The sequence below is a fragment of the Homo sapiens genome, chromosome 7, assembly GCF_000001405.40.
Source record: "Homo sapiens chromosome 7, GRCh38.p14 Primary Assembly".
Lineage (NCBI taxonomy): Eukaryota > Metazoa > Chordata > Mammalia > Primates > Hominidae > Homo > Homo sapiens.
In genome coordinates, this window is record NC_000007.14 from 82,125,332 (window position 1) to 82,153,077 (window position 27,746).

At 34.3% G+C, this 27,746-nt stretch overlaps 1 protein-coding gene across 16 annotated transcripts in view; it reads right to left on the reverse strand.

Annotated features, from left to right (window-relative positions):
* The window catches only part of CACNA2D1 (calcium voltage-gated channel auxiliary subunit alpha2delta 1), a 497,513-nt gene that overhangs the window by 178,888 nt on the left and 290,879 nt on the right, over positions 1 to 27,746 (reverse strand). For all 16 annotated transcript variants that reach the window (XR_001744873.3, XM_005250574.4, XM_005250572.4 and 13 more), the window contains exon 5: positions 11,304 to 11,345. Coding sequence is in view for 15 of the 16 variants with exons in the window: in XM_005250574.4 (XP_005250631.1) it covers positions 11,304 to 11,345 (42 nt within the window). In the remaining variant the exon portion in view is untranslated. The remainder of the gene's footprint in view (positions 1 to 11,303; positions 11,346 to 27,746) is intronic.

Sequence of the window (27,746 nt, forward strand, 5' to 3'; positions counted from 1 at the left end):
TTTGCTTACTCTGGGAATTAAGAAAATAGCACAGTTTGCTGGCACAACTGAAGTCTTCTGAGGAATTTGCTTCACTAATCTTCAGGGAATTTAATGACTTATTGGGTCAGATGTCTTTTGAAACCTAAACTAGGAATCCAAATAAATTTCAAAACTAATGATAACTTGAATTTGGGTTTTCATAGATAATTGTTACATTGCTAGCTTTTTTTTCCCCTCAGTTTATTTTAACATCTACTTTTTCTTTAAAATCTGAATAAACAGAGCCAGAAATGATGGCAAGTGCCCGTAGTGCCAGCTACTCAGGAGGCCGAGGTGGGAGGATACCTTGAGGCAGGAGTTTGAGGCCAGTCTGAACAACATAGTGAGACCCTGTCTCTAAAATTAAAAAATAAAATTGAACATATGAAACCTATAATGATATGAAAACAATCTTCCCCGTTTGTGTTTGCATTTTTAAAATGTGTTTTGAGCATTTAACTTTGCTTTGTATTTTGTGCATGCATTATCTTAAGGTTTTCATACAAAGATTAAATTCATGACAATAAAATGAAAAATATCTCAATATAATGCCCTTTCATTATTAACACATTCAGATACACAAACACGCTCCATTTGATGCTAAGATCACTTCCACTTAAGTTGTAATGATATTAATAATTAATGTTTTTCACAATTACATTCATTAACATTTCTAGACTGCCCTCTATGATCCAGGAAATGGTCTGTATGTTTTATATGTGTTAATCTAATCTTTATAATAACTGAGGTTGCTATTACTATCACCTCCATTTTAAAGACCAAATAACTAAAAAGCAGAGAGATTATGTGATCTTGCCAATATCACCCAGAAATGGCAGAGCTAAGATTTGAATCTAGCTAGCACTCCAGTATATAATCTCAATTATCACACTCTATTGCCTCTACTGTATAACAAGGCATACAGCAATTGTACATGTATGCCTTGTTATTTAGAAGAAACAAAAATAGAGTTTCATGTAGAAGTATTTGGAAATAAAACATTGTCTCTATCTTAAAAGACTTAAGCAACAGATGACATGATTCATTATACTATTTCTCTCTTCTGTATATTTAAAATCTTTTTCCTGATAAAAATAATCTTACATTGAAACATTATGCTCATTTGAATGATGTAGGCTCTTTGGAAATAAAACTCAACTTTTTTTTATTAATACTATATGTAGAATAAGAAAGTGAAATCCGCCCAATTTCCTCAAAGAATTAATGTCTGCAGTGTTTTCGAATAAACACAAAAATTGACCCAGCTGGTCTTAAAGCTTGAAACTTGTATTTATCTTCTCTGAATTCCTTTCTCAGGAAACCAACCATCAGGCCTCCAAGGAACTGAAACTCACCAAATCACCACATTCAGACAATGAGACACCAGACCCTCTCCTAATTCCTGTTTTTCCTGCATATAGCTACATTCCTTTCATGCTATATAAACCTCCAATTTTAGTCAGTTGAGTAGACAGATTTGAGACTTATCTCCCATCTCCTCAGCTGCAACACCCAAATAAAGCTTTCTTCCCTGGCAATATTCTTTGTCTCAGGGGCTGGCTTTCTGTGCATCAAGCAATGGGACATAGACTGAACCCCTGGTGTTTTGTTAAAAGAACTTGGTTCTGATGGAAGAATATAATACGCCTGAGTTCATGTTTCACAAATATTCACACTTGAAACCAAATATCTTGATACTTACATCACTTGTAGTAATTACAGACAAATATTCTAACTGCACTGCTTATTCTCCAATTTCAATTAATTTTGGACCTAGGGAAACTACATTGTCTGTTTTAACTCTCCTCTTAGTCCTGATGGCTGTCCCCAGGGACAAAACAGAGAAGATGAGACAACACTGTCCACTGCCACTCTCATCTGCATCCAATCCCATTAGATGAAATTAAGGAAGCAAATGTCTATCTTAAACATTAATTCAAATATCATCCATAGTAAAAGCTAGCTTTATTATTTCCTCTCTTCATTTTGCTTCCACTAACCTTGAAGCAAAATTAACATTTTCATTTCCACCACGCTTACAATATAGCACCACTTTAAAAGGTGAACACATCTTCACAAACACTATGAAAATATGGGTATACAAATTTAACAAGCATTATTTCAGCAATTACTGTATACTATAAAATAAACTAAATATTATTTCTACCTCAAATCACTAAAACTTTAGTAGAGAAGATCAAACCCTGTACACATATTCTATTGTATAAGGTATTATACCATTAAAGCCAAAAATGCATTACAAGTTGCTTAGAACGCTCATAGGAAGGACTACCATTTGCTACCTACAAAAAAACAAGGAAGGTTTAAAGAGAGTTATTATTTAAATTGGGTTTTTAAGTAAAGCACTTGATTGGAGGAATTGTATGGTATCATGATCAGGTAATTAGCATGATTAGTCATGTTAATATTATCTAGGATAAGTTAACTGGACACAGCAAAGATTTTCTTACATATCCAGTAAGGCCATATGTGCCTTCTATCCTTCCATGAGAATCACGGCTCATCCAATAATTTATCCCAGTTATACCTGCATAGTTTGTTTTGTTTTCTGAGGTTTTTTGTTTGTTTTTGAGACAGGGTCTCACTGTCACCCTGGCTGGAGTGCAGTGGCACAATATCAGCTCACTGCAGCCCCGACCTACTGGGCTCAAGCAATCTTCCCACCTCAGCCTCCCAAGTAGCTGGGACTACAGGTGCACCCCACCATGCCCAGCTAATTTTAGTTTTTTTTTTTTTTGTAGAGACAGGGTGTCACCATATTGCCCAGGCTGGTCTTAAACTCCTGGGCTCAAGTGTTCTGCCTGCCTCAGCCTCCTGAAGTGCTGGGATTACAGGTGTGCACCACAACGCCTGGCCGCTACCTGTGTTTTTAAGTTTCAAGAGGAAAATCTGTTTAAATGACTAAAGCCATAATTTTTATATTATACAATCGTAAGGAGACATTAATTCTATACTTAATTTCAGCCACTGCTTTAGCTAAACCTGGCTGTATTTATTTTATAGCCACAAGGTGAATATAAATAGCATTGCTCTAAGTGGAGGAACGTAGATAACTATAAAATGCCCTTGAGGAATTGTCTTATACCAGAGTCCTTGAAGAGCATAAACTTTCCCACAAACTGACTAATTCGGATGCAGCTAATAGAAAGCTTTCACTCTAAAGGAAGCATTGATCAACTTTAAATACTTGTTTTACCTTGGAGGCCATGCATCATCATTATAATGAACAAAATCAATAGATTACACTCGAATGTATCCTTCTTTCTACACAAACATGATCCTGGTGCTACACCAGCCTAATAAACACGAAAGAACAGTAGAAATCAGGAAATTCCAAATTTTGTCCTGATGCCAACATGTACTAATCTCATGACCTTCTTTGTATGATTTACTTCTATTATGAAGGCTGCTACTACTTCATCTCTACTCATATCCCATACTCCCCTCCCCTGCCCCCACGTTCCCCTGAATGCTGGTGTTCTGAGGAGTCTATCTTGTATTGTCTTAAGGTATTTTTTTTAATGTTGTGTAGATGTGTGAAGCAGGCTGAAAGTAGACAATAAGGAGTAGTGGCATTACAGCAGGCTGCAGAATATGTTATATCCAAAGGTATTCAAATTCATTTTGTTTTTAGCTTTGTGTAAGCATGCCAAAATTTATCTGTAGATGAATCTGGCCTTACTATATATGTAACTTCACACTTGCTCAGGAAATTTCAGCCACTTGTTTTCAAATTCCCCTCATAAGCTAAACATAAAACTCTATTCTAGGCCACTCTCCTAAGCAACCAAACTAAATACTTAGCTGCCTACTAGAAATCTCCTCTTGAATATCCTTGAGCAAGTTTTTGGTATAAATGTTCTTGACTTTTAAAAATCTTTGTCTGAAACACTGCAGGCCTTCCAAATCTACAATTATATACAGATTTCTTGGCAGACCTGAATGTTTCCTTCCATTAAATCCTTGATGATTATATCTGATACATGTGCTTTGACTTGATCTCTGGGAAGACAGGACTTATGAATACACCTATGAATTCTGACCTTCATATTTATTAACTTTGTTCCCACATTTTTTACTTTTCTGGCATTTGAAGAGTACTTCTCAAACTTATTCTGAGGATTATTGATAAACAATTCACATTGTCAAATTTGTTAGTTTCTCCATTGAGAATTTTGTTTCAGTGGTTTTCATTTTGATGGTTTTAGTCTACTTTTTATAGATCATTGACTCTTTCTTTGGGGACAGTAAGCATATATTCAATGTTGTTTTTCTGCCTGACATATCTGAAGTAATACTATCTTAGAGAAGAATTTTCCTCTGTGTCTTTAATACTTACTTTACTGTTACTGAGTATCTCATGGATTTCTCCATTGACTGGATTTTACTTTATTAGTCTTAAATGAAGAAAGGCCTATCTAGTCTCAAGACTGGGAAGTAGTCTTTCTTCCCCAAGTGTTTGTCCTTGGTGCTGTCATATTTGTAACTACAGAAGTGCTAATGATATAAAACATTTGGTCCTGCCACTGGTCAACAATAGGGCAAGCGTTTTCTTCAAGGTATGTATTTCATTGCCAATCCTCTAGATTATAGAGACCTACACAAGTCTGGACTAAGGTTGGGATAGTAGGGAAAGGATCTCTCTAAAAATTAAAGTATGGGGAAGTAATTCTAGAATATAACTATGACGTGTTCTTAAACTATACTTCAGAACATTCCTTTTACAGTTGTGTGAAATGAAGCTTTAATATGAACTTAGATTTATTGGGAAAGAAAGTTTGAGTGATTACAATGTGTACTCGATATTGTAAGAGTTACATCAGCTGCTATAAGTGCATAAGAGCTGCTCTCTGGGAACTTATACTCTTGAGGGACCCTAAGATAATAATTCACAAAGATTGGCTGTGCCTTCAAGAAGGAGAAACTTTCATTTCACTGCCAAACATTATATGTTCCGCTTAGGGAAGTTACTGGTAAAGTTTCTGCACGGTATTAAACATCAAAAAAAGAGTCAGTAATAAGTGACAAAGATCTTGACAATGGAAAAAGATATATGAATATAATGTTTATAAATTTATATAATAATGTATCATAATTAAATGCATTTAAAATTTATAATCATAAAATGAGATAATTTCAATAGCTCTTAAGAACATATTTGAGACCAATGTCTAAACTTAGATGATTGTATTAGAGCAGTGAAAGGAAATGATTGATATGAGTACTAGGAAATCCTGGAAATGATCACTAATCTACTAGTCTTAGGAGTTGGAAAACAAATCATCTCCAGCAGAACTGGTGAAAAAGTTAAAATAACCAGAGCCTCAGGATTTATAATCTTTTAGTTATACCCAGGAGGTATAATATTTAAAATAGAAACTTTATTTAGTGCTTGTTTTTTTTGTTGTTGTTTTTGTCTTTTTTTTTTTTTTTTTTTTTTTGAGACAGAGTCTCGCTCTGTTGCCCAGGCTGGAGTGCAGTGGCACAATCTCGGCTCACTGCAAGCTCCACCTCCCGGGTTCACGCTACTCTCCTGCCTCAGCCTCCCAAGTAGCTGAGACTACAGGCGCCCGCCATCATGCCTGGCTAAATTTTAAAAAAATATTTTTTAGTAGAGACAGGGTTTCACTGTGTTAGCCAGGATGGTCTCGATCTCTTGACCTCGTGATCTGCCTGCCTCAGCCTCCCAAAGTGCTGGGATTACAGGCATGAGCCACCGCGCCGGCCAGCTCTTATAAACTAAATTTGTCCTAAGGTTACATTTGTATTTTGAATTTCTTTACAGTAAACTGCAGCCTAACTTAGTATGTTAACAAACTGCAACCTACTTTAAAAGTATATTCTTGTAACTAATAACTGAGTCTCAGCTAATCATAGCAGCTGAGTTTCAGCCAATCACAGGCTGCCCACTGATCAGATTATGTCCACAGAAGGCAAATGCTACATATGCCCAAGTAAGGTAAATGCCCAGCTATCACCATGCCCAAGTAAGGTAAATGTCCAGCTATAACCAATCAAGCTGTTTCTACACATCACTTCCTTTGTCTGTCTATAAATACTGCCTGGCCATGTTGCTGGGTGGGGCTCTGTCCTAATTTTGAGTACTGCCTGATTCATGAATCATTCTTTATACAAATAAACTCGGGTAAATTTAATTTATCCATAATTTCTTTCAACAGCCCTCGGATATTAATCCCCATTGAAACATACTGAGGACTAAATTTATTAATAATGTTATCCCAGCAGTTAGTATGCCAATTAGCCCCACTGTTTTATTAGTTGATGTAGACGTATGAGATTGTAAAGTTACATTTTATAATCTCAAATGACAAATTTTTAATGAAGAATATGACATTGTAGAATTTGAACAATAAAAATACATAGCTAAACTAGCATGTATAAAAGTGAGAGCAAAGAACAGTGATAGTAGCCAAATTCAAACAAAAACAATGTGATGATATGATTTGTGAACACCTGATATATAAAATACCAGCCAACGCATATATAAAGTTGTAAACAAAAGATCCAATTAAATCCACCCTGTACTGCAAAACTTTTGGTGAGGGTGAGTAAATTTCATCATCCATAGGAGTCTAACTTCATGAGATAAGTAACAATCTTTTTTTAAAAAAAATGTAAATACTGAAACTTGTTAACTAGAATATCAAAGTACAACATGTATTTACAGTTCTTGACTTTCACTGTAATATAGTAAATATTTCTATTGCAGAAAACAATTTGATCATTAGTTATCAAAATGCATTAGGAGATATTAGAAAAAACTCAGTACAGCACCCAATTTTATATTCATTTTACTATAGAAAAATTATCTCCCCCAAAGGGTTTGATTATATTTAAAAGATAATAGTCACTCAGATGAATGAGTAGAGTGTTTGCACTAACTTTAATATGTCAAGAAGAACAAATTGAAGATATGTGCAGAAACTGCTAATTAATGATCTCTCAATTACTATCCCTTCTCTCTTTAGTAATGTAACTCTACATGTTAGTTGGGTATGTACACATGGGTCAAGGGTTGGGAGGAAAAGTACTCCATATCCTCTTGCAACAAGGCAAGGCTGGTCACTAAGTTGTGGACAATGGGCACACATAGAAGTGATGTATGCAAACTCTGAGACATGCCCCTAAAGGCAAAGGGCATGTCTCCCATTGTCACTTGCCTCTCTCCTCTAATCTAGAACGCAAAAAGAATCATGGATATTGGAACACCGATCTTGGAGCACAACATGGAAGAGCTACACTGAGGAAAGCAGAGAATGGGGAGAAGAACCTTGAGGGCTGGAAAGACAGGGAGTTGCTGTATTAGCCAGTGTATCCAGAATGTTCCTAGAGAGGAATCAACTTCTGTCTAATTTAGGCCACTTTTACTTTAGGTATCTCTCTAACAGACAAACTGATATACTAATCAATACAACATAATTTGTTTTGATTCAAGGTTTAAGATCTTATAAGAGCATTAGCATTATGTTCTAAAGCACTCTGAGCTTGTCCAATGAAAAATTTTCAGTATACAATAAATTATCATATAGTTCTTTACAAATTCTCAGAAAAATTCACATGAAATATTCCAAATACAGAAAACTGAATGATGTCACAAGGATCAACTTTGTATTTTACACTCAGGTTGATTTGACATGATAATTTATTGGTTTTTTATTTTATAAAGCATTCTACAAGTAGAATTATATTTCCTCATGTGATTTCTCCCATTTTTTCTCTTAACAAATTACATTCTTGCTTTACTTGAGCAATGACAGCCTTAAACATGGCCAAATGCAATAAATATTTACATACTGCTTACGTATATCAGCAATATTCAGACTTGTGTAAAATAATATTTTACCCATTATTATGAAATCCATATTAATATACAGATTTCACAGATATGTAAACAACCTCACTTTGGCTCAGAAACTTTCACAAGTCAGTGAGCCTGAAAAAACATGGGTTTCCCATGTTGAGGGCAAAATCTGAATACTGGAAGACAAGTAATCAAAACAGTGAAAAACTATTTGAATGTGTTAGATTATCTTTTAATATAATGCTGAGCAGCCTGTGAGGAAATAATGTCTCTGTACCTTAATGATGGTAGAACTTGGTCTGGTCCTTTTTGTAAGTGATATCGCACTATGTATCAAAATTCATTAAAATGTCAAAAATTACCACTTTTGGGAATCTATCCTAAAAATAAGTTTAAAACTTTGAAGAATAATATTTATGTGTAAAGATGTACTGATATTTATGTGAATACTCACAAAGGAAAATTAAACTCCAAGGTAGAAGTGGAGTTAAATGAATTGTGTTATATCAGCTCAAAAGAATGATCCAACAACTATTTCCCAAGATAAAAAATGATTATGCCACTTAATAACTTGTGTACTTAAAGAATCATGCAGGGCCGGGCACGGTGGCTCACGCCTGTAATCCCAGCACTTTGGGAGGCCGAAGCGGGTGGATCAGGAGGTCAGGAGATCGAGACCATCCTGGCTAACACGGTGAAACCCCTTCTCTACTAAAAAATACAAAAAATTAGCTGGGCATGGTGGCGGGCGCCTGTAGTCCCAGCTACTCAGGAGGCTGTGGCAGGAGAATGGCGTGAACCCAGGAGGTGGAGCTTGCAGTGAACCGAGATCGCACCACTGTACTCCAGCCTGGGCGACAGAGCGAGAGTCTGTCTCGGAAAAAAAAAAAGAATTATGCAAATAAGTAAACATATATGTTCATGAGAAAATATTAAAAATGTAACAAAAAACCAACATGCTTATAGTAGGGTAAAAGTCATGAATGCCATCTTCTTCCCTCCTTTTGACTATTAAATTCTATAATGTGGTCATATTCTTTATCCATTTAAGTATATTCTTTATGTATAAGTATATATTTTCATTAGAATCTAAGAATATCCAGAACTGAAATGAACGTTATGGATCACCTATTCATCTGTATCATGTCTTAGATGAGAGAATAACAGTTCAAATTTTAATAGGTGTTAAAGCCCTAGGATGACTATAATTTTAGGGCTGGATTAGGGCATGAATTATTCTGATTCCTATTCTAGTTCAGTTTGCACGAAACAACACTCTTTGCGAATTATTCTGATAACGTTATTGTTTGTATATAAAGCAATTGAGTTTTCTTCAAATGCTGACCATCATAGTTTTAAGTTTTAAATTTAAATGTGGACATTTTACTATTTATAAGGCTTTAATTTGCTAAATTTCACCTCATGGCAGAAAACAGAGAAGGAATCCTTATCCTAAGCATAAATATATAACCCACAGTAGTAGTAGATACTATTTTTTTAGATGAGAAAATGGGAAAAACAAGACAAGTTTAATAAGTTCACTTACACATTTTTTTCTCTCTCAAGAGACTTTGATTTAAACATTTGAATGAACATTAGTGAAGGCAAACTATGTAACAATATTAGAACAACTGAAGTATTACAAATAGTAACACGTGCACTTTTCCACTTGTAGTGGACATATATGCTCAAATGGGCAACTTTGAAGCATTGATTGAAACTGGAGTGATAGTTACTAAAAAGTCATATTGACAATTTACATATTATTGTTAAAATCTTGAACAAAAGAAAATCACCAATTTCAATGTAAAATAAAAATTACTTTCTAAATAATGAGCAAACCTAAATAAAACTGTTTCACATATAAATGTAACTTCTTTAATTAGTTTAGAGAAGAAATACTTATTTGCAGTATTGGTTTCATTATCTTTATGCAATCCTTAATTGGAGGATTGCACGTCAATGCCATTCACTTTATTCTAAGGCTTTGTCATCGCTTTACAAATTAAATATTAAATAAATGTTGCAATTTATGTACCAGGAAGGTTGATGAAGATTTTGTATATATTTTTAAATAAGTTTAAAAATATCAAGTGCTAATTATAATGGTGAAACTAAACATCTCTTCAAAAATGGTACTTATTTTGATATCAATAAACCATTAAAACATTTTGTTTTAGTTGACAGTTTGTACTTAATAAGCCTCCTACATCATTAAAATAATATATACAATCATGACAAGAGGAAAGATGTCATGGGAACGCCACCTATGTCTAGAGGAAAAAAAATACTTTTTAAAACACTCTTAGCTCTTCAACTATAAACTGGAGAAAATAAAACCTTCTTCATTAACAGTATTGTAGGAACTAAGTAAAATAAGTTGTGTAAAGTGGTTAGTAGTATGGTTTGAGATGGTGGTGGTATAATTTGTTATAATTTGGGAAACTGTGACATTATCAAGCCATTATGTGTTTTCTCATTTTTTAAGACCAGATAGACTTGTTTTATGTATTTTTTCATTTTCTTCTTTTAAATAGCTGGAAGAAAATTCCATATAATAGTATATAAATACAATTATTTTGATTCGGATGAGAAATGTGTGAAAGACATGTAATACTTTTATTATATTTGTTTGCTATGTTTACTGAAATACCCCAAGCTCTTAAAATAACTAAAATATAGGATGAGCTTAACAAATAATTTTATCTTAAGAAATAAGTATACATAGGCATTTTTTTGATCTAAGAGTCAAATACAAGAATTTTAAAAAATTAAGTGTAACCTTTATTAGATAACTTCGCAACTCTATTCACCAACACTAAGTAATAAATGTGTCCTCAATGTCTATCCAGATGTAGCAATATTAGAAGTAACTGATTAGCACTAAAATAATCCATGTTTTCAAGTCATTTAAATGTGTACATTAGAGTCATTTATTTAAAAAGTCATATGGAGCAACTACTTTGTTTCAAAGACTGTACAAGCAGGGCAGGTTGTTGCACAGCTTCTGGGGTGTCATTCATATTGTAGTTGAAGTAAATGGTTCTCCCTGGTGTGCAAAGTTTAAGTCAAAGCAGATAGGCGTGGTGACCCTGGTGACAGGAGCCAGGATACAGAAGTAGATGGGATTGGATAGCTATTTTCAATATTGCTAATGGAGTCCAGAGTATCACAGTTGGTACAGAGGACTGTGGTCTGGAAAAAGTGCAGTGAGGGTTCAGATCCAGAGAAACACATGGAATTTTTACTTAGGAAGATGCCAAGAATAAGTTGTTAAAAATCACAAAAGTTCTTCATTATCTCGTATCTAACTAGTATTTTGCTCATGCAGTCTAACATTGTCTTAAAAACTAAAACTGCTAGCTCAATTTATTCTATATAAGGCCAATCATTTTACTATAATTTTCTTGGAATTTAATGGAAAACATTTAATACTCACATCGAGATCATCCTTTGCATTGTAGTAGACAACTTCATTGCTCTACAAAAAAAAAAGAACGCTTTATTGATTTTAATAAAAACAATACTGTATCAAATACTGAATACATTTTATGCATATTATAAAATAAACTCCTTGTCATCTTTCTTTCACAATATATTCCACAATGATCCATAAGGATTAGCCACTATTTTTCCAGGAACATATTAAAACCGTTTATCAGTGATATTACATCTTGCATTGGGAAAAAGATCCCAGTGTAAGTCTGAGACCCATTTGTCAAGAAAAAAATAAGTGAAAAATTGGTAAGTAAAATAAATTATAGACAAACACATATATACACTGATATATTAATACACAATGAACAGGATAATTCAAGAAGCATGTAAGATACGTGTCTTAATACTTTGTTGAAGCCATGATTTTTATATACATACACAGAGTGTTGAAATGATTCTGGAGGAAATGTGCATCTATACAATATTGGCAGAAATTTACTCATGGAGTCAGAAAAGAAATGATGAGCACCAGGGAATTCAGATAGTAAAAAATATCAGATTATCTCACACTAATACTCTCATATTCTAGCAAAGTGGTGAATTAGCATTGGTGTTCTAGCAAGAGTAAATATATATGGATGACTCTGCTAGCCATCAGTTTCCTGAAAAATACCATAAATATAAATTAGGGCTACAAACTATGTTAGAAAGGAAAAATGGAAATGGATTAATAAAATGACTGTCAGGAATTTAAAACTCCTATTCTTTGTGTCTCTGAGGCTAGTTCTATGTAGTGTAAAAATAATCCACTTAGACTGATTTCTCTATCTTATTCCAAACTGATTGAAGATATAGTTCATCTTCCACATGTCTTCAAGTAGTAAACTCACTACGATGTGAACACATATTTTTCCCTGCCTCTTAAACATCCAAAAACATAGATGCTGTAAAATTTTAGGCTGACGCGGTGGCTCACGCCTGTAATCCCAGCACTTCGGGAGGCCGAGGTGGGTGGATCATGAGGTCAGGAGATCGAGACCATCCTGGCTAATACAGTGAAACTCCGTCTCTACTAAAAAAAAAAAAAAAAAAAAAAATTAGCCGGGCGTGGTGGCGGGTGCCTGTAGTCCCAGCTACTCCGGAGGCTGAGGCAGGAGAATGGCATGAACCCAGGAGGCGGAGCTTGCAGTGAGCTGAGATCGCGCGACAGAGCGAGACTCCGCCTCAAAAAAAAAATTTATTAAAAGCAAACATATAATACACAATTTTTAAAACGGAAATTACTTGGGAAAAGTTCACTAAATTAGTGCTTCTCAGTGTATTCCCTTTCCCCCTCCCCGCAAAAATCACTACTTCTTCAAGATATTAATGGATGTCATGTGGGCAAAAGCATTCCATGATCATATGACTTTAGAATATAATAAAGTTAAAATTGTCTCTTTTCGGCAGAACTTCACAGAGACAATGTATAACTGTACATTATAAATCTCCAAGAGGAAAATACATTGTGTTTTCTCAGTTTATTTACCACAGAAATCTGCCTGTTTTTGTTTGAGAAACATACCACGAGACTGAAACTCTAAAATATAGGTCTCCATGAAGACCAAACAAACCAAAAATGATATAAATATCACAGCATATGAATCATAATAGAGACTGAAACCCATGAATTTGAATTTCATTTAGAATCACTAAAGTTTTACATTATTTGATTTTCAAAAGAATTATTCAGTAGCTAAAAATTTTAACATGCATAAAAATTCTAATTCCTGAAACATTTCTTATAGCATTAGTTTTGTTTTTTTTGTTTTTTTTGTTTTTTTTTTTTTTTGAGACAGAGTGTCGCTGTGTCGCCCAGGCTGGAGTGCAGTGGCGCGATCTCGGCTCACTGCAAGCTCCACCTCCTGGGTTCACGCCATTCTCCTGCCTCAGCCTCCAAAGTAGCTGGGACTACAGGCGCCCGCCACCATGCCCCGCTAATTTTTTGTATTTTTAGTACAGATGGGGTTTTACTGTGTTAGCCAGGATGGTCTTGATCTCCTGACCTCGTGATCCGCCCGCCTCAGCCTCCCAAAGTGCTGGGATTACAGGCGTGAGCCACCGCGCCCGACCTTATAGCATTATTTTTATAAAAAAGCAGAGCTCATCACATGTGCAAAGCAAGACAATCTTCTGAATCCACCTGAGACCCAAACCTAATTACTAGTTTATTGATCCTGCTTGTACCTCTGCAGTTTATACTTAGGAGACGATTTTCAATTTAAAATGTGGATTCTACGAAAAGTTAAAGCACTGAATAAGTTCATCTTCATTTTAGACTTTATTTTCTGCCATCTGCTTGCTTATATTAACAGAATGGGAACACGTAGAAAACAAGGTGAGGCTGCATTGAATTTCAAGCAGTTCAACATCGTCATTTTCAACAGATACTCACTAATATCTATATGCACACACTGTTGTGCCAAGAAAGGCAAAAAATAACTCAAACCTATCAACTCCTACTCTTTTGGTAAAATAATGGATACAAATCAGTTGCATAAAACAACATATGTATGTAGGATTACACTTGGTCCATGGTACTAGAATTAATGATTAGTCAATGTATTTCCTAGTAATAAAATATAAATAAATAATCATCAAGGCTAAGATTAAGAGTATTTCACCTAGTGTCAGAAGGGTTACAAGTATGATTTTTTAAGTGCCAGTATTGATATAAACTAAGTATTTTGATCCTGTTAAGAGCTATGCATGAAACTAAAATTAAGTAAAATTAAGAATTAAAAAGATCTAAGTTTATTTGAGAATTTCCCAATGGTTTTGTTTCCCTTTTTTGTGTACTACATTCTACAAAATCTGTTACTTATCTCTTCTTTCAGAATGAGGGTCCATGGTACAATGATGAGCACTCTAAACTCTGAAACTCTATGTTGCTTTTAAAACTGTCATTGAAAAGGTGCATTTCAAAGTTCAGTTAAGTGTTAACGAATTTGTACAAGGCTTTCTGGATTCTGGATTGCATATAATTCCAAACGCTGAGTTTTTAAGTAAACTGAAGAAACAAATATATATTAGTTATAAAATTATATTGCAGGTCAAACATCCATACTCATCCATACTCCTTTCTTGTTACTAAGTATTTGACATTTCCTTTTTTTTTTTTTTCTTTATTGAGATGAAGTCTCGCTCTATCGCCCAGGCTGGAGTGCAATGGCATGATCTCGGCTCACTGCAAATTCTGCCTCCTGGGCTCAAGCAATTCTCCTGCCTCAGCCTTCCTAGCTGGAATTACAGGCATTTGCCAACACACCTGGCTATTATTATTATTATTATTATTATTATTATTAACGGTGTTTCATTATGTTGTTCAGGCTGGTTTCGAACTCCTGACCTCAAGTGATCTGCCTGCCTCAGCATCCCAAAGTGTTGGGATTACAGGCGTGAGCCACCATGCCCGGCCTTGACATTTCCATTCTAAAAGAGTTCTTTCTCAATATATCATTCATTTATATGGTCAAAATATCAATGAAAAAAACAAAACTGACTTTTTATAGAAAACAACAAAATGAGAAAGCACTTACTCAAATATGCATGCTTAGACAGGCTGTCACATTTTAAGAAGAGAACGTAGACCTTAGTGGAATTTGCAACCAATTATGTCCCATACCGTAAAACTAAATTTCTTCTTCACCAATAAATGGGATATTGCTTTTGGCTTAGGAGCATTTTTACAAACCTCATATGATAAATATGCTTTTCTTTCCCAAACCCCAAATTTTCATTCATAGCATATACATTTCATTATTCCCTTATTTCATGAAACAGAAAAGCTCACTTGATCAATTTTAATAAGAATAAATTTATACAGGGCATCAGGAGTTGGAGAAACTAACTCTGCATCTGCTCTGTCAACCAAATCCACCTCTATGGAATATGACCTTAAAATAAATGCCAAATATTCAAAGAGCACTTAATTTATATCACCACATCAAAATATTTTCCAAGTCTCAGTTCATATTTTCTTATAAAAAAAAATTGCAATTGGCTGGGCGCGGTGGCTCATGCCTGTAGTCCCAGCAGTTTGGGAGGCCGAGGCGGGTGGATCACAAGGTCTGGAGATCGAGACCATCCTGGCCAACACGGTGAAATCCTGTCTCTACTAAAAATACAAAAAATTGGCAGGGCGTGGTGGCGGGCACCTGTGGTCCCAGCTGTTCGGGAGGCTGAGACAGGAGAATGGCGTGAACCTGGGAGGTGGAGCTTGCAGTGAGCTGAGATCACGCCACTGCACTCCAGCCTAGGCGACAGAGCAAGACTCGTCTCTAAAAAAAAAAAAAAAGAAAAAAAAATTGCAATTATTCGTTTGTGATTTTTGTTTGAATGCTTTCAGAATTATTTGGCTCAGAAACAATTTCAACTATAATTTTGAGAAAAATCATATTTTGGAGAAGCAGTCATTCTCTTTCCTATCAATTCATTTAAAGCTATCTTTTTGCTATTTAGAAATATATATTAAGATATGTCCAGCTATGTTAACTAAATCAGTCTTTCACTAGGAGTTATTCAAATCACTGAGTCACCACAATATATCCAGAACCAATCTTAACAGAATTGGGAAAGGACAATTCTTAGGAATAAAAGATGATTCACACCAAATCAACTAAATTCTGTTCTGATGCTTTTATAGATATGAGTTTTACTTAAAATGAATTCTGTGCTAATAGAAAATTAGGGGAGGAAATTTAAAAAAAAAAATGAAGTTAAATGCCTTAAGTGGGTAAAATTAAAGGAGAAGAGGAAAAAGTCTCAGCTGAATTCTTTCTCCCTTAACCCAGTCTCCTGTTCCCATCCCACTTAGACTTTGTACAGGGAGATTTTGGGGTTTCAACAACAATCGGGGGAGCCACACCACTCATTCAACAATTATTTTGGCAACCTTCTCCGTGCTACGTATTGGAGAAACGAAGATGAATAATATCTACACCCTGACCACAGGGAGCAAGTGTTCACCCTACAACTCGTCTGTGGCAAGGATCTGACCTCGTATATATGAAAAATATCTCATTATGGTTGGATGACATGACCACATAAACTAAAGCTTTCTCAGTTTTCAAAACAGTTGAGAATTAACAATTTTAGATAGTCAAGACATTGCCCGTCTGTTGATCAGTTTGAGCATATGTGTTTCTTTCTTAATCATTTCCCTGTCTTATCACTAAAAATTCCCTCAGTCCCTTCTCTAGAAAGTACAGTTATACCAGTATCATTTAATACTTTAATTAAAACTATGGCATATAAACTAATTACCATGGGAACAAATGATAGAATAGAGTAATCTTGTTTCTCTATTATCCTTCAGCCTAAATGTCTTTATGCAAATTATTAAACAACATCATCTTGGAAGGTTTCACACTCAAATACACAGGTTTTCAGTGGATTTCAAGGCATTATGTGCAGTATGATAGAATAAAGTCAGCAACAGCTTCAAACTAGATTCAGGGATTAAACCTTTGGAGAGCTATTTTTCATAATTTAAGCGCCACCAGATGACAAGAACAAATTGTTTTCTTTCTGATTTTTAACCATGCAGTTTAGTTATTTATTATCTCCTTGAAACAAATTTGCCCAAATGGTCCATGCTAATATAATACTGCTGCTTACTGAAATTTCAAACATCCCCTAGCAAGTTGAGAGATAAATTACTTTAGTCCCACATTGTCTCTTGGGAGTCAAAAATTAAATCTGAGCAAAATAGACCTTTCCATCTTAAAAATGTATATTGTGAGTGACAGCCCCTTGCATGCCACTTGCTCACAAATGTGGGCCTCTGATGAATAGATTATGCTAAAAATCTGAGGCACACATGCAAAGCTTCCCCATGGAACTAAGATGTTGCCAGGAATAAGGCTTAAATATTGCAACTGAAAATTAAGATTTTATAGTCAACAATTAAAATATATGACACATTCAAAATTCAAATAGAGACTAACTTCCTGTCCAATTTACTAATTCTCTTTCTTGGCTATACTCAGCTCTGCACATGATTCACAGCCTGACAAGTTTTGGGCAACTGTACTGTCTGATAAAGTCACTTTTACAAAATATTGCAATCTTATTGTCATTTTTATCACTCCTGAGTTCCAAATACCAAGTCAATTGGTTAAACATTGTAGATACTCTTCATTAAAAATAAGTTATGTTAATGATTCATGCCAGCCAACATCTACACTGTTTAGCTAAAATCATTTATAGCTCAAATTTTCTGGAAATACATTTGTAGCAATTTGACTTAGCAACCACTGCTATTTTGTCCATTATCAACTGTTGTACCTGGGATGAGTTCAACCAACAGCACTGTAACACTGTGTGAATAAAAGAACTTAGGAACATGTATGTGTGTGTATGGCTGTCTGTGGGTGTCAGTGGTGAGGGGGGATATGAATGTGAGTAAATCATTTTCAAGACAGTGCTCCAGGAAAAAAAGTATTTTTTCCTGTCATTATATTTGTTTGAAGTTTGGAAAACATGAACATATTGAGAAAGTATGTAATTTAGAAGATGAAAAGAAAAAATAAAGATGGACACAAGACCATCTAGAGATAAGTGCTACCATATAACTGAACTGAAGACGTGATAAACCTGCATTCATATTATGTGACAAGAGACAATAAGATAATTGATATAAAGTGTTAAGTACAGTGCATGGCACACAATATATGCCCCGTAATTGTTAACTACTTTTTATATATGAAAAATATCAGGAATATACATCCATAGAATTTATCAATTAACTTTAGTTAATACCTACTTATACATGAAGTAAATTATAATTTTATTTTCTTAGATCAGTTAGGATGCAATGTGTCTTTTAAGTGCTATCTTCAAAGATTCCACATAGCAGAGTGGAGAAGAAATAAAATTACTAGTTGTTGTCATGCTTTTTAATCTGATAAACCAAATGAGATGATTTATAAGAAAGCCTAATGCAAATGGTAATTAATTGGAGTGGAAGGGGCTTATACGCATCCTGTCCACCAAATGTGTTGCTGTGCTCCAGACCTGTGTGATTCTGTAACTCTCCAGTCTACATGTACACCTCCACATATCAATCATCATTCATTACTGCCTATAAAAACTTTCACCTTGTATTAATCTAAAAGTTTGCTTGTCCATCCCAACATCCAAACTGCCCAATCTTGCTGGAGAAAATTACACACCAGTAAATCAGGAGTTTCTATGTTTTAAAAACTCTAACAAACATGTAGGGTTCTTTGGTAAAATGTTTTTCTATTCAGAAATCCTATAGCTTTTCAGAAACTGTTTATTCACCCAATCTAATCATGTGATTCTGTCTGGCTAGTAAATCACATCACCCCACTTATCTGATGACACAAATTAACAAGTACCTAAATATATTCAAAAACTGTATTCCATCTCTCTATTTCTTTGGGTGTAATAGGTCTAGGAGTAGTTACGGTCATAAAAGCTGAGCTGGTTACAGCCTGAATCCTTGAGGCTTCCTTCATCTGTTGGCTTCTTGGTGATAGGAAAAATCATTTTTTTTTCTTAAGCTAGTAAGAATTTGGTTTCCAACACAATCGATAGTACTGATACTAATACCATACTTCCTACAATGTTTTCTTCGAATCTGATTTTCTATTACTAATAGTATTATTTGCTTAAAGTTTAATTTTTATTTGTAGCTTTACAAAAATTTCAGTGTTCTAGAAATAACTCCTAAATCTGTGTCCTAGATGCTAGCTCCTGCTGATTCATTAAGAATTCCATTTCTTCATCATCCCCTTTTTCTCCCCTGTGTATCCATCTTTTATTTAATCACATTCAGGTAATTTGCAAAATGCAACTAAGAGAATTTGTGGAATAAAAACTCAGATGTGTTCTGGCATGAAATATTTTTTCACCTAAAATTTAAAATTCTAGCAGAAGGTTAAAAAAAACATCAAAGAAGCCAAGTTCAATGTTTCCTTAGCTCCTATATAAAGCATTTTAATATTTTTCTAACATTTCTCTAATGAACTAAAGGTCAAAAATCACCTACTGCCAACTTAATATTTTATAAGTGGTATATCAGTAATCATTACCATTTTTAAAATGATGGATCAATTTTTTTACATCAACTCTTCACTAGCCTTTAAAATTAGTTGCATAATAAAAAATCAAATAACTCTACATTTTGATTGCATGCTTGAATATCAGAGTTTTATTTAAAAAGATTAAAGTAAAATGATTTTGCTAGCGTGGTTCAATAATGTATGGATTATAATGAAATCATAATCTGTTCCTTCTTTGAATTCTCAGCATTCTTTCATACGAATAAATAAGCATTGAGCTTTGTACACATGCTCAGCCTGATTTAGGTTAGAAACCTAAACACATGTGTTTTTTGACACCCTGATTACTAAAGATGACCCAGTGAGTTAAATATTCTCAATGTCATTTTATGTATTGAAAAGCTAAGACTAGCAACAGTTAAACTGAGTCTTCTTATCCTCAATCAAATACTTATACCTCCTGTGTACTGCTATTATGAATGCAGACATGACCTACATCTTAGAGACAGTGAATTTTATATATATATAAAATATAAATTATATAAATATATAAATTATATAAAATATATAAAATAAAATAAAAAATAAAAATATATAAATTATGTAAAATATAAATTATATATAAATTGTATATAATATATAATTTATATATTATATATTACACATTATATATTATATATTATATATGTATTATATATATTGCATATTATATATTATGTAAATTATATATAAATTACATGTATAATTTTTATATATGTTTATATTTTATATATATAAAATTCACTGTATAGATACAGAATGTGTGTATGTATGTATATTCTGTATATATACAGAATGTGTGTGTATATATGTGCGTATATATAAAATTTTTACATATAAAATTTATATATGTAATTTATATATTTTACATATATTATAAAATTACATATAAAAATTTTATATGTAAAAATTTTATATATATGCACATACATACATACACACACATTCTGTATATATATTATACACAATTTTATATATATATACACACACATATATACCTATATGTACACCCTCTAAATAGTTTACATAATAAAATAGTTAATCTTTGAGACACATTCATTCACTTTATCCATTCTTTTAACTTTGTCTTATAATCTACATTAAAATATAAATTTAAAATTATTATTAATTTATTTCGCTTACTGGAAGAACAACAAAAAGCTAGAAAATAATTTTGGCCTTTTGTAAGCTTGCTTCTGTTACTTTTGCCACATATCACTTTACATTTCTTCATCCGGTATTTTCCGTTGCATAATTGTAATATTTTAGTCTGCTTATTTTTTCAGTTGTCATTATGGTGCCTGTAAATTAAAGTATCACTTCATAAGTTGTCCGGCATATTAACCAATCTACAAGCCAAAGCCATCTAAGAGGAGTGGTCACATCGAAAGATAATAGATCCATGTGTCTTTACTATGTTTAATAACCTAACTGCAAAGATACTCATGTACTACAGCCCAGAGCTGAACTATCATGCTGGTGACACAAATGGAAATACCTCCCTAGAAGAAAGAAACATTCATGACGTTCACTAAAAGGAACTGCTCATTTCTTCTACATATATATATACGTGTGTGTGTGTGTGCGTGTGTGTGTGTGTAGAAGAAATGATATATATATATCTTTACATATACATATTTATATTTATATATATAAAGATATATATTTATATATATCTTTACATATACATATTTATATTTATATATATAAAGATATATATAAATATATATCTTTATATATACATATTTATATTTATATATATATAAAGATATATATCTTTATATCTATATATATATCTTTTACAGGTAAGAAGATTAAGCTACTACAGTTTGAGTAGAGACAATGTTCTATTGTGCATATACTCAATGCTAGCAGTGTCTGGAATGCTGTATGAAGTGCTACTGAAAGGGCTGATAAATGATTAAATGAATATGATAGGCCTATGAGCAACTATTACAAATTCGGCCAGGCGCCTTGACTCAGGCCTGTAATCCCAGCACTCTGGGAGGCCGAGGCGGGTAGATCACCTGAGGTCAGGAATTTGACAACAGCCTGGCCATCATGGTGAAACCCTGCCTTTACTAAAATACAAAAATTAGTTGGCCATGGTGGCACACACCTGTAATCCCAGCTACTTGGGAGGCTGAGGCAGGAGAATCACTTGATCCCAGGGGCAGAGGTTGCAGTGAGCCGAGTCAGCACCACTGCTCTCCAGCCTGGGTGATAGCAAGACTCCCATCTCAAAAAAAAAAAAAAAAAAAAAAAAAAAAAAAAAGCAGCTATTAGAAATTCTAATAAAATAACAAGTACACACACACATACCTGCACACATACACATAATTCATAACAGTCAAAAAAAAAGTGTAGAGCTTTACAAAAGCTCGAATAAGTTAAAAGGTAGGCTACTTTCACTCTCATAGGAAATCAAGGAGAAATTCCAAGTAGACTGATTTCAGAGTTCATTGGCTCTTGAACTTCAAAGGAGATCAATTCTTATTAAACATTAAGAGCTATATCAATTTATTTATTCATCTGATAAACTTTAATAGGAATCTGCCTGTAAGCTATTTTGGTGTTCCAAATGATATCAATAAATATATGATTTAAACTCTATGAGAAGAGCAAAGGTAGAATATGAGAAGGTAAATATATTATTTTCCTCAGGCACCAAATCTCCCAGAAACCTCATTCCAGAACTGAACAAACACATTCATAATGCTGTGGAACTTGCTTTAATCTCCTTTAATCTGTAATTCCAATGAATCTTTAGATATAATCATCTAAAGCATTAAAATTTAATCTTCTAAAACATTTCATTTCTTATGTTTCTTCCTATTGACTCAGACACCCCACAGATCTTCTTGACTCATGATCCAGGTCAACAGCACTTGATCATAATATATGATGTCTTAGCAAGAGAGCTGTTAATTTGTCCAATGGTAATATTAGCCCTTCCTCTCCAGATTAATCATTATCAACTCCAGATTATTATCCTACTAAAACAAAATATGAGGATTAACACTATGGTCAGTGAATAACTTAGTTTAAAATAATCTGTTCAAAATTGGAGCCTCAAAGAACATTAGGTTGGTAATCACTACATCAATTTCATTCATCTTTCATCGGGCTTATAGGGATATGTAGGATAGGAAATAAAGGTAGTACAGGGACATTTATTATGTGTCTATTATGAAATAAACATTCACATATATACAGTACTCCTTGCTCATCCCCAGGAGAAACATCCAAGACGCCCCAGTAAAGGCCTGACACTGCAGATACAGATAATATTAATATGTATACAAACTTATAAGGTTTAATTTATATATTAGGCACAGTAAGAGATTAACAACAATAATCAAATAGAATAATTAACTTTATGCTGGCATCACTATTCTGTGAAAGTGGTAACAGCTAAAACAAATATATCACTGTTCAGCTCGGATAGTGCATTATGTTCCTATAAGGCAATAGTCTTAAAAGCAAGGCTTGTTAAAGTAGAAAGGAGATTTGTAAGTTTCAAAAACAGATGATTTTACATATAAGACAAAACTAAGAAGTCTAAATGATGAGGCATAGTTAGAAAAAAAAAAAAAAGTCAAGGGATGTTCCTCCCTATTAGAAAAAGGAATATTGAGAATTTCCTAAATTGAAAGAGCAAAAGAAAAGCTGAAGGAGAGAGCTAAAAGTGACATGTATATGGACTGGCTCCAGTTATAGGTAGGAAACAGTGGGAGAGCAAAGGAGGTGTGTTTGGGAGAAATTTGCCACATTTTCTACTAGGAGTCTGGAATAAAGACTTTTCATTATTAAGTAAAATAAAGGTGCATCCAGGAAGCTTTCTTTGCCAGAGAAAACTCCCCAGCTTCCCTGCTTCATGTCAAAATTGGACAACCTTGTTTTTTGTTTTTTTGGAGATGGAGTTTTGCTATTGTCGACCAGCTGGAGTGCAGTGGCACAATCTCGGCTCAGTGCAACCTCCGCCTCCCAGGTTCAAGTGATTCTCCTGCCTCAGCCTCCCGAGTAGCTGGGATTGCAGGTGCCTGCTACCATGCCCAGCGAATTTTTTATTTTTAAAAGAGGCAGGGTTTCACCATGTTGGCCAGGCTGGTCTCAAACTCCTGACCTCAGGGGATCCACTCACCTCAGCCTCCCAAAATGTTGGGATTACAGGCGTGAGCCACTACACCCGGCTGGACACCCTTCTTAATGCCTCTCATAGAATCTTCTTGTATTTCCCCACTCTATAAATCAGAGAGAAGAGTCACTACACATCACTGGTTTGTTGTATTGATGAAATGGGCAAGTATCTGGGTCAAGGATCGGCTGCATTCCCTGCCTCAGTCTGTGTACTCAGCACAGCATAGTGTGATCACCTGCCTGAGCCCTGTGAGAGACTACACCTTAGCCATGTTTGAGCTCAATGCCTGGCCCATCACAGCTTAGATGTCATTAACTACTAAACAAGCCAGCCTCCCTCATAAGGTTGTTGAATCATCTGATGAATTATCTTAATATTCCACAGACAAGATGTTCACTGACTGGTTTTTAACACTGTCCTAGGTTTGGTTACCTAGAAATAGACACTGAGACTAGGATTTGAGCATCATTTATTTGGGAGGTGATCCCAGGAGACACCAATAGGAGAGTAGAGAAGTGAGACACCAAGGCACACAAGCTGTGGTCAAGAGCAGGTAGACAACTGGGGCTGTTTCCCTAGGAACCCTGGGGAGGCTATATAGAATTTCACTCAAAACGGTCACATCCAAAGAATGAGGAGGCTCAGGTAGTATCCACCCATACCAACTGTCACTCGGAGTGTTCACTCCTGCTCATTCTGGCCACCTGAGAAAGCCCTCAAGGCCAAGATGTGCAGATGCTTAGAGGAGGAAGCTATAAGAGTATGTGCTTGGCCGGGTGCTCACACCTGTAATCCCAGCACTTTGGGAGGCCAAGGCAGGCGGATCACAAGGTCAGGAGATCGAGACCACCCTGGCTAATACGGTAAAACCCTGTCTCTACTAAAAATACAAAAAAAAAACAAACAAACAACAAAAAAAAAAACATTAGCTGGGTGTGGTGGTAGGCGCCTGTAGTCCCAGCTACTCAGGAAGCTGAGGCAGGAGAATGGCGTGAACCCGGGAGGCGGAGCTTGCAGTCAGCCGAGATCGCGCCACTGCACTCCAGCCTGGGCTACAGAGCAAGAGTATGTGCGTGTCTCTGTGTGTGTACATGTGCGTGTGTGTGTGTGCATGTGTGTGTGCATGCACTGAGGAGATGTGGGCAGGGAACCAACAGCATCTACTATAGGCATGCAGTGAGTGTTTTAAAATGCTTACTGAGCACATGGCTAAATGCTTAAACGGCTTTAAGCATTGACTAGTTAGTAATGTGGCTTCCCGAGGCTTTGGTTCCTCCCCTGTGACATAAACATTCAGTTGACAAATACGGTCTCTAGAATCCTTCCACCTTTAAGGTTTGGTGTTTCCACTAACTGCTTTGCTTTAGATCAAATTAAAAAAAAAAAACAAAAACAACAACAAAAAAAAACACCCTAGTAGCTGGGTTCATCTACTTTTTTTTTCCCCCCAGTAAGCCATTATTTTGCTTCTCATGTGAGCACCCAACAGAACTTAAAGAGCCATCTCTCTTATTCTGAAAACAAAGCAAAGCTTTCCCTTAAAAAAAAAAAAAAAAATTGAAATCTCTAGTACATATTTTTGTAGAAGCATGTAAAACTGTAAAAAAGAAAAACCTTTGCATCATTTTTTTTCTATCTTGAAAGGTCAAGTTAAGGTGTATTCATTTATTCCTGAAAAGTAATGACTATGTTCCAAGGATAGATGTTTGCAATAGAAACATCCACAAACTAACCTAAATCAACCCCTTTGCACCTACCAAATACAAGCTGGCAATTTCCCCATTATGATATAAATTACCTGCTACAGATCAATTGCTGCTCTCTTTCATTAATATAATTAAATGACATTCATTTGTATTTAACTGAAGTAGAAATCAGTGTTTTTATAGGGCATAGATTACAGTTTAAATCTGTACTGCTTCTTTGTAAAAAAATTTTGTTAACAGCACAAAGAAAGGAAGGCTGTTGCAGAAGGAAAAAAAATGAAATGGCTTCACACATTAAAGAAGCACATTTGAATAATATATAATTGCTTGGAAACAAAAATTTCTAATAGCTTATGTTTCATTACCCTAGTTTTAGTAACTGTATTTAAGTTATATTTCAAATAGCTTTTTAAATTCAAACTGTTTACTGATTCAGAGATAACCTGTCTTTAGTTAAAACATGCATAATTGTTAAAATGTTAATTTCTGAAAGCAACAATCCAAAAGATTCTCAACAAATTCAAAAGACTCTCAACATAGCCCTAGTTAAATTGTATTCTTTATTTCATCTCTTGTCCAAATTTAAAAGAAAAAAGTAAAGGAGAGGCAAGGAAAGGGAATTCTGTGGACCATGCTTCATTCCTCAGGCATATTTTCATAGGAGTTATTTTAATTTCAAAATGCATAATTGTTTAGTAAATGCAATCTTTTCTTTTCTTTAGAGTAGTAAATGAAGATCTGTATACTTTTCCAAAAAATTACAGACAAAGTTGTACCAAGGAAAGGCTGAATCATGGCAATACAGATGCACTGAATGTCAAATTTAAAAATCTACATTCTTTTCCTTGGTGCAATTCTTAGTCCATGGTTGCTAACAAATCAATCTATCCTAAGTTGTTTTGGCTTCTCATTTATCAATTAGGCAAAGAATTCCAAATTCAGAGCAGTATAAATGAAGAAATTTGGATGGTTTTTAAATAAGAAATTGAGGTAAAAAGAAGATAAACTGAATAGCTAAAGAACTAAATAAAACTACTTCAGTCATAAGAGGCTGGTGTCACTTCGGTGGAGAGCAAAAATACTGCAGAGAAGCTGAGCCAATTACAGAGTTGTCTACATTTTCAACTGTGATTCCAGATGTGTTATGGAACAAAGGAACACATCAACATACTCATCTTTTGATCATATTAACTTCTTTCTAGCACGTAAGAAACTCAGTATGAAAAATATTTTACATTTAAAGAATCAAGCAATTTCAAAGTTAATATCCAGGTGAGAAGAATAAAGAGAATGTATTAGCACCTAATTAACCTTTACAGACACAATTCCCTCTCTACAAAACTAGAAGGAGGTATTTTTTCCTCCAACATGTTGTATATTTTTGTCCACTTTCATGGACTGTTTAGTAAAAACATAGCAGATCTAGAAACACATAAGAAGAACAAGTGAACTGAAAGCAGATCAAGTGAGATTATATCTAAGCTTTATATTCCAAAGTTAAATGTATCAAACTATATATTTACAGAGGACAAGCTAATCCTAAAAATGATTAATCAATGCTTATAAGTATTAATATAATAATATGCCTTCCATTTACCATCATGTAAATGATATGAAAACCACATTTATATTAATATAATTCGCCTATTGTCTAGAAATTGTTTAGAGACTGCCCCCCCACCCCCCAAAAATAAATTAGATCTTAATATACAAAGTTGAGCTCAGGCTAAGAATTTTCTTAAAACCTTAAGAAAAGGTTAATACTTGAGAAAAGGTAAAACCTTGAGAAAATATTAATACTAATAGGTTTATCAGGAAAAATACAGGACATCCAATTAAATTTGATTAGATGATGAATTCTTTCTAGTAAAAGTATGTTCCAAAGTTCTACAAAAGGTATAGTTACTTGAAATTCAAATGTAACTGGGAATCCTGTGTTTTTCTGTACTAAATCTGGCAACTTTCATTTATGAGATAGTATTATATCATTTATATGGATTTTACATTATTTCTGATAAATTTTAAAATTCAATATTGTTGCAGAAATTGGGGAGGGGGAGAATGCTACATCACTAAACACTAGCTTTGAAATTAAGTCAGGAACATGATCTTAAAGGAATGACATCAAAATTGCAAACAGCCCCAGTCCTTAGAAAATGTAATTACCCAGAAAGGCCAAGGTGTATTTCTGTTTTTCAAAACTGGAGTAACTCTTTAGTTAAATGCATTATATGTTTCGATGGTTACTTCCAATTTTACATATAGAAGAATTATTGGGCATTGTTCATTTAATTTCTCATTTTGAAACATACTAAGGCAATATCAAAATGGCTGCATTGGTAATTTAGTAATTTATTAACTTTCGAGAACATTCATAAGAGGGAAACATGGCTGTAATATCTGCCATCCCACTGATCACCTAAGCTGATTTCTGTGAACTGATCAGCCAGGCAGTAACATTCAAAGTAGATTGTGCAATCCTTCTAAAC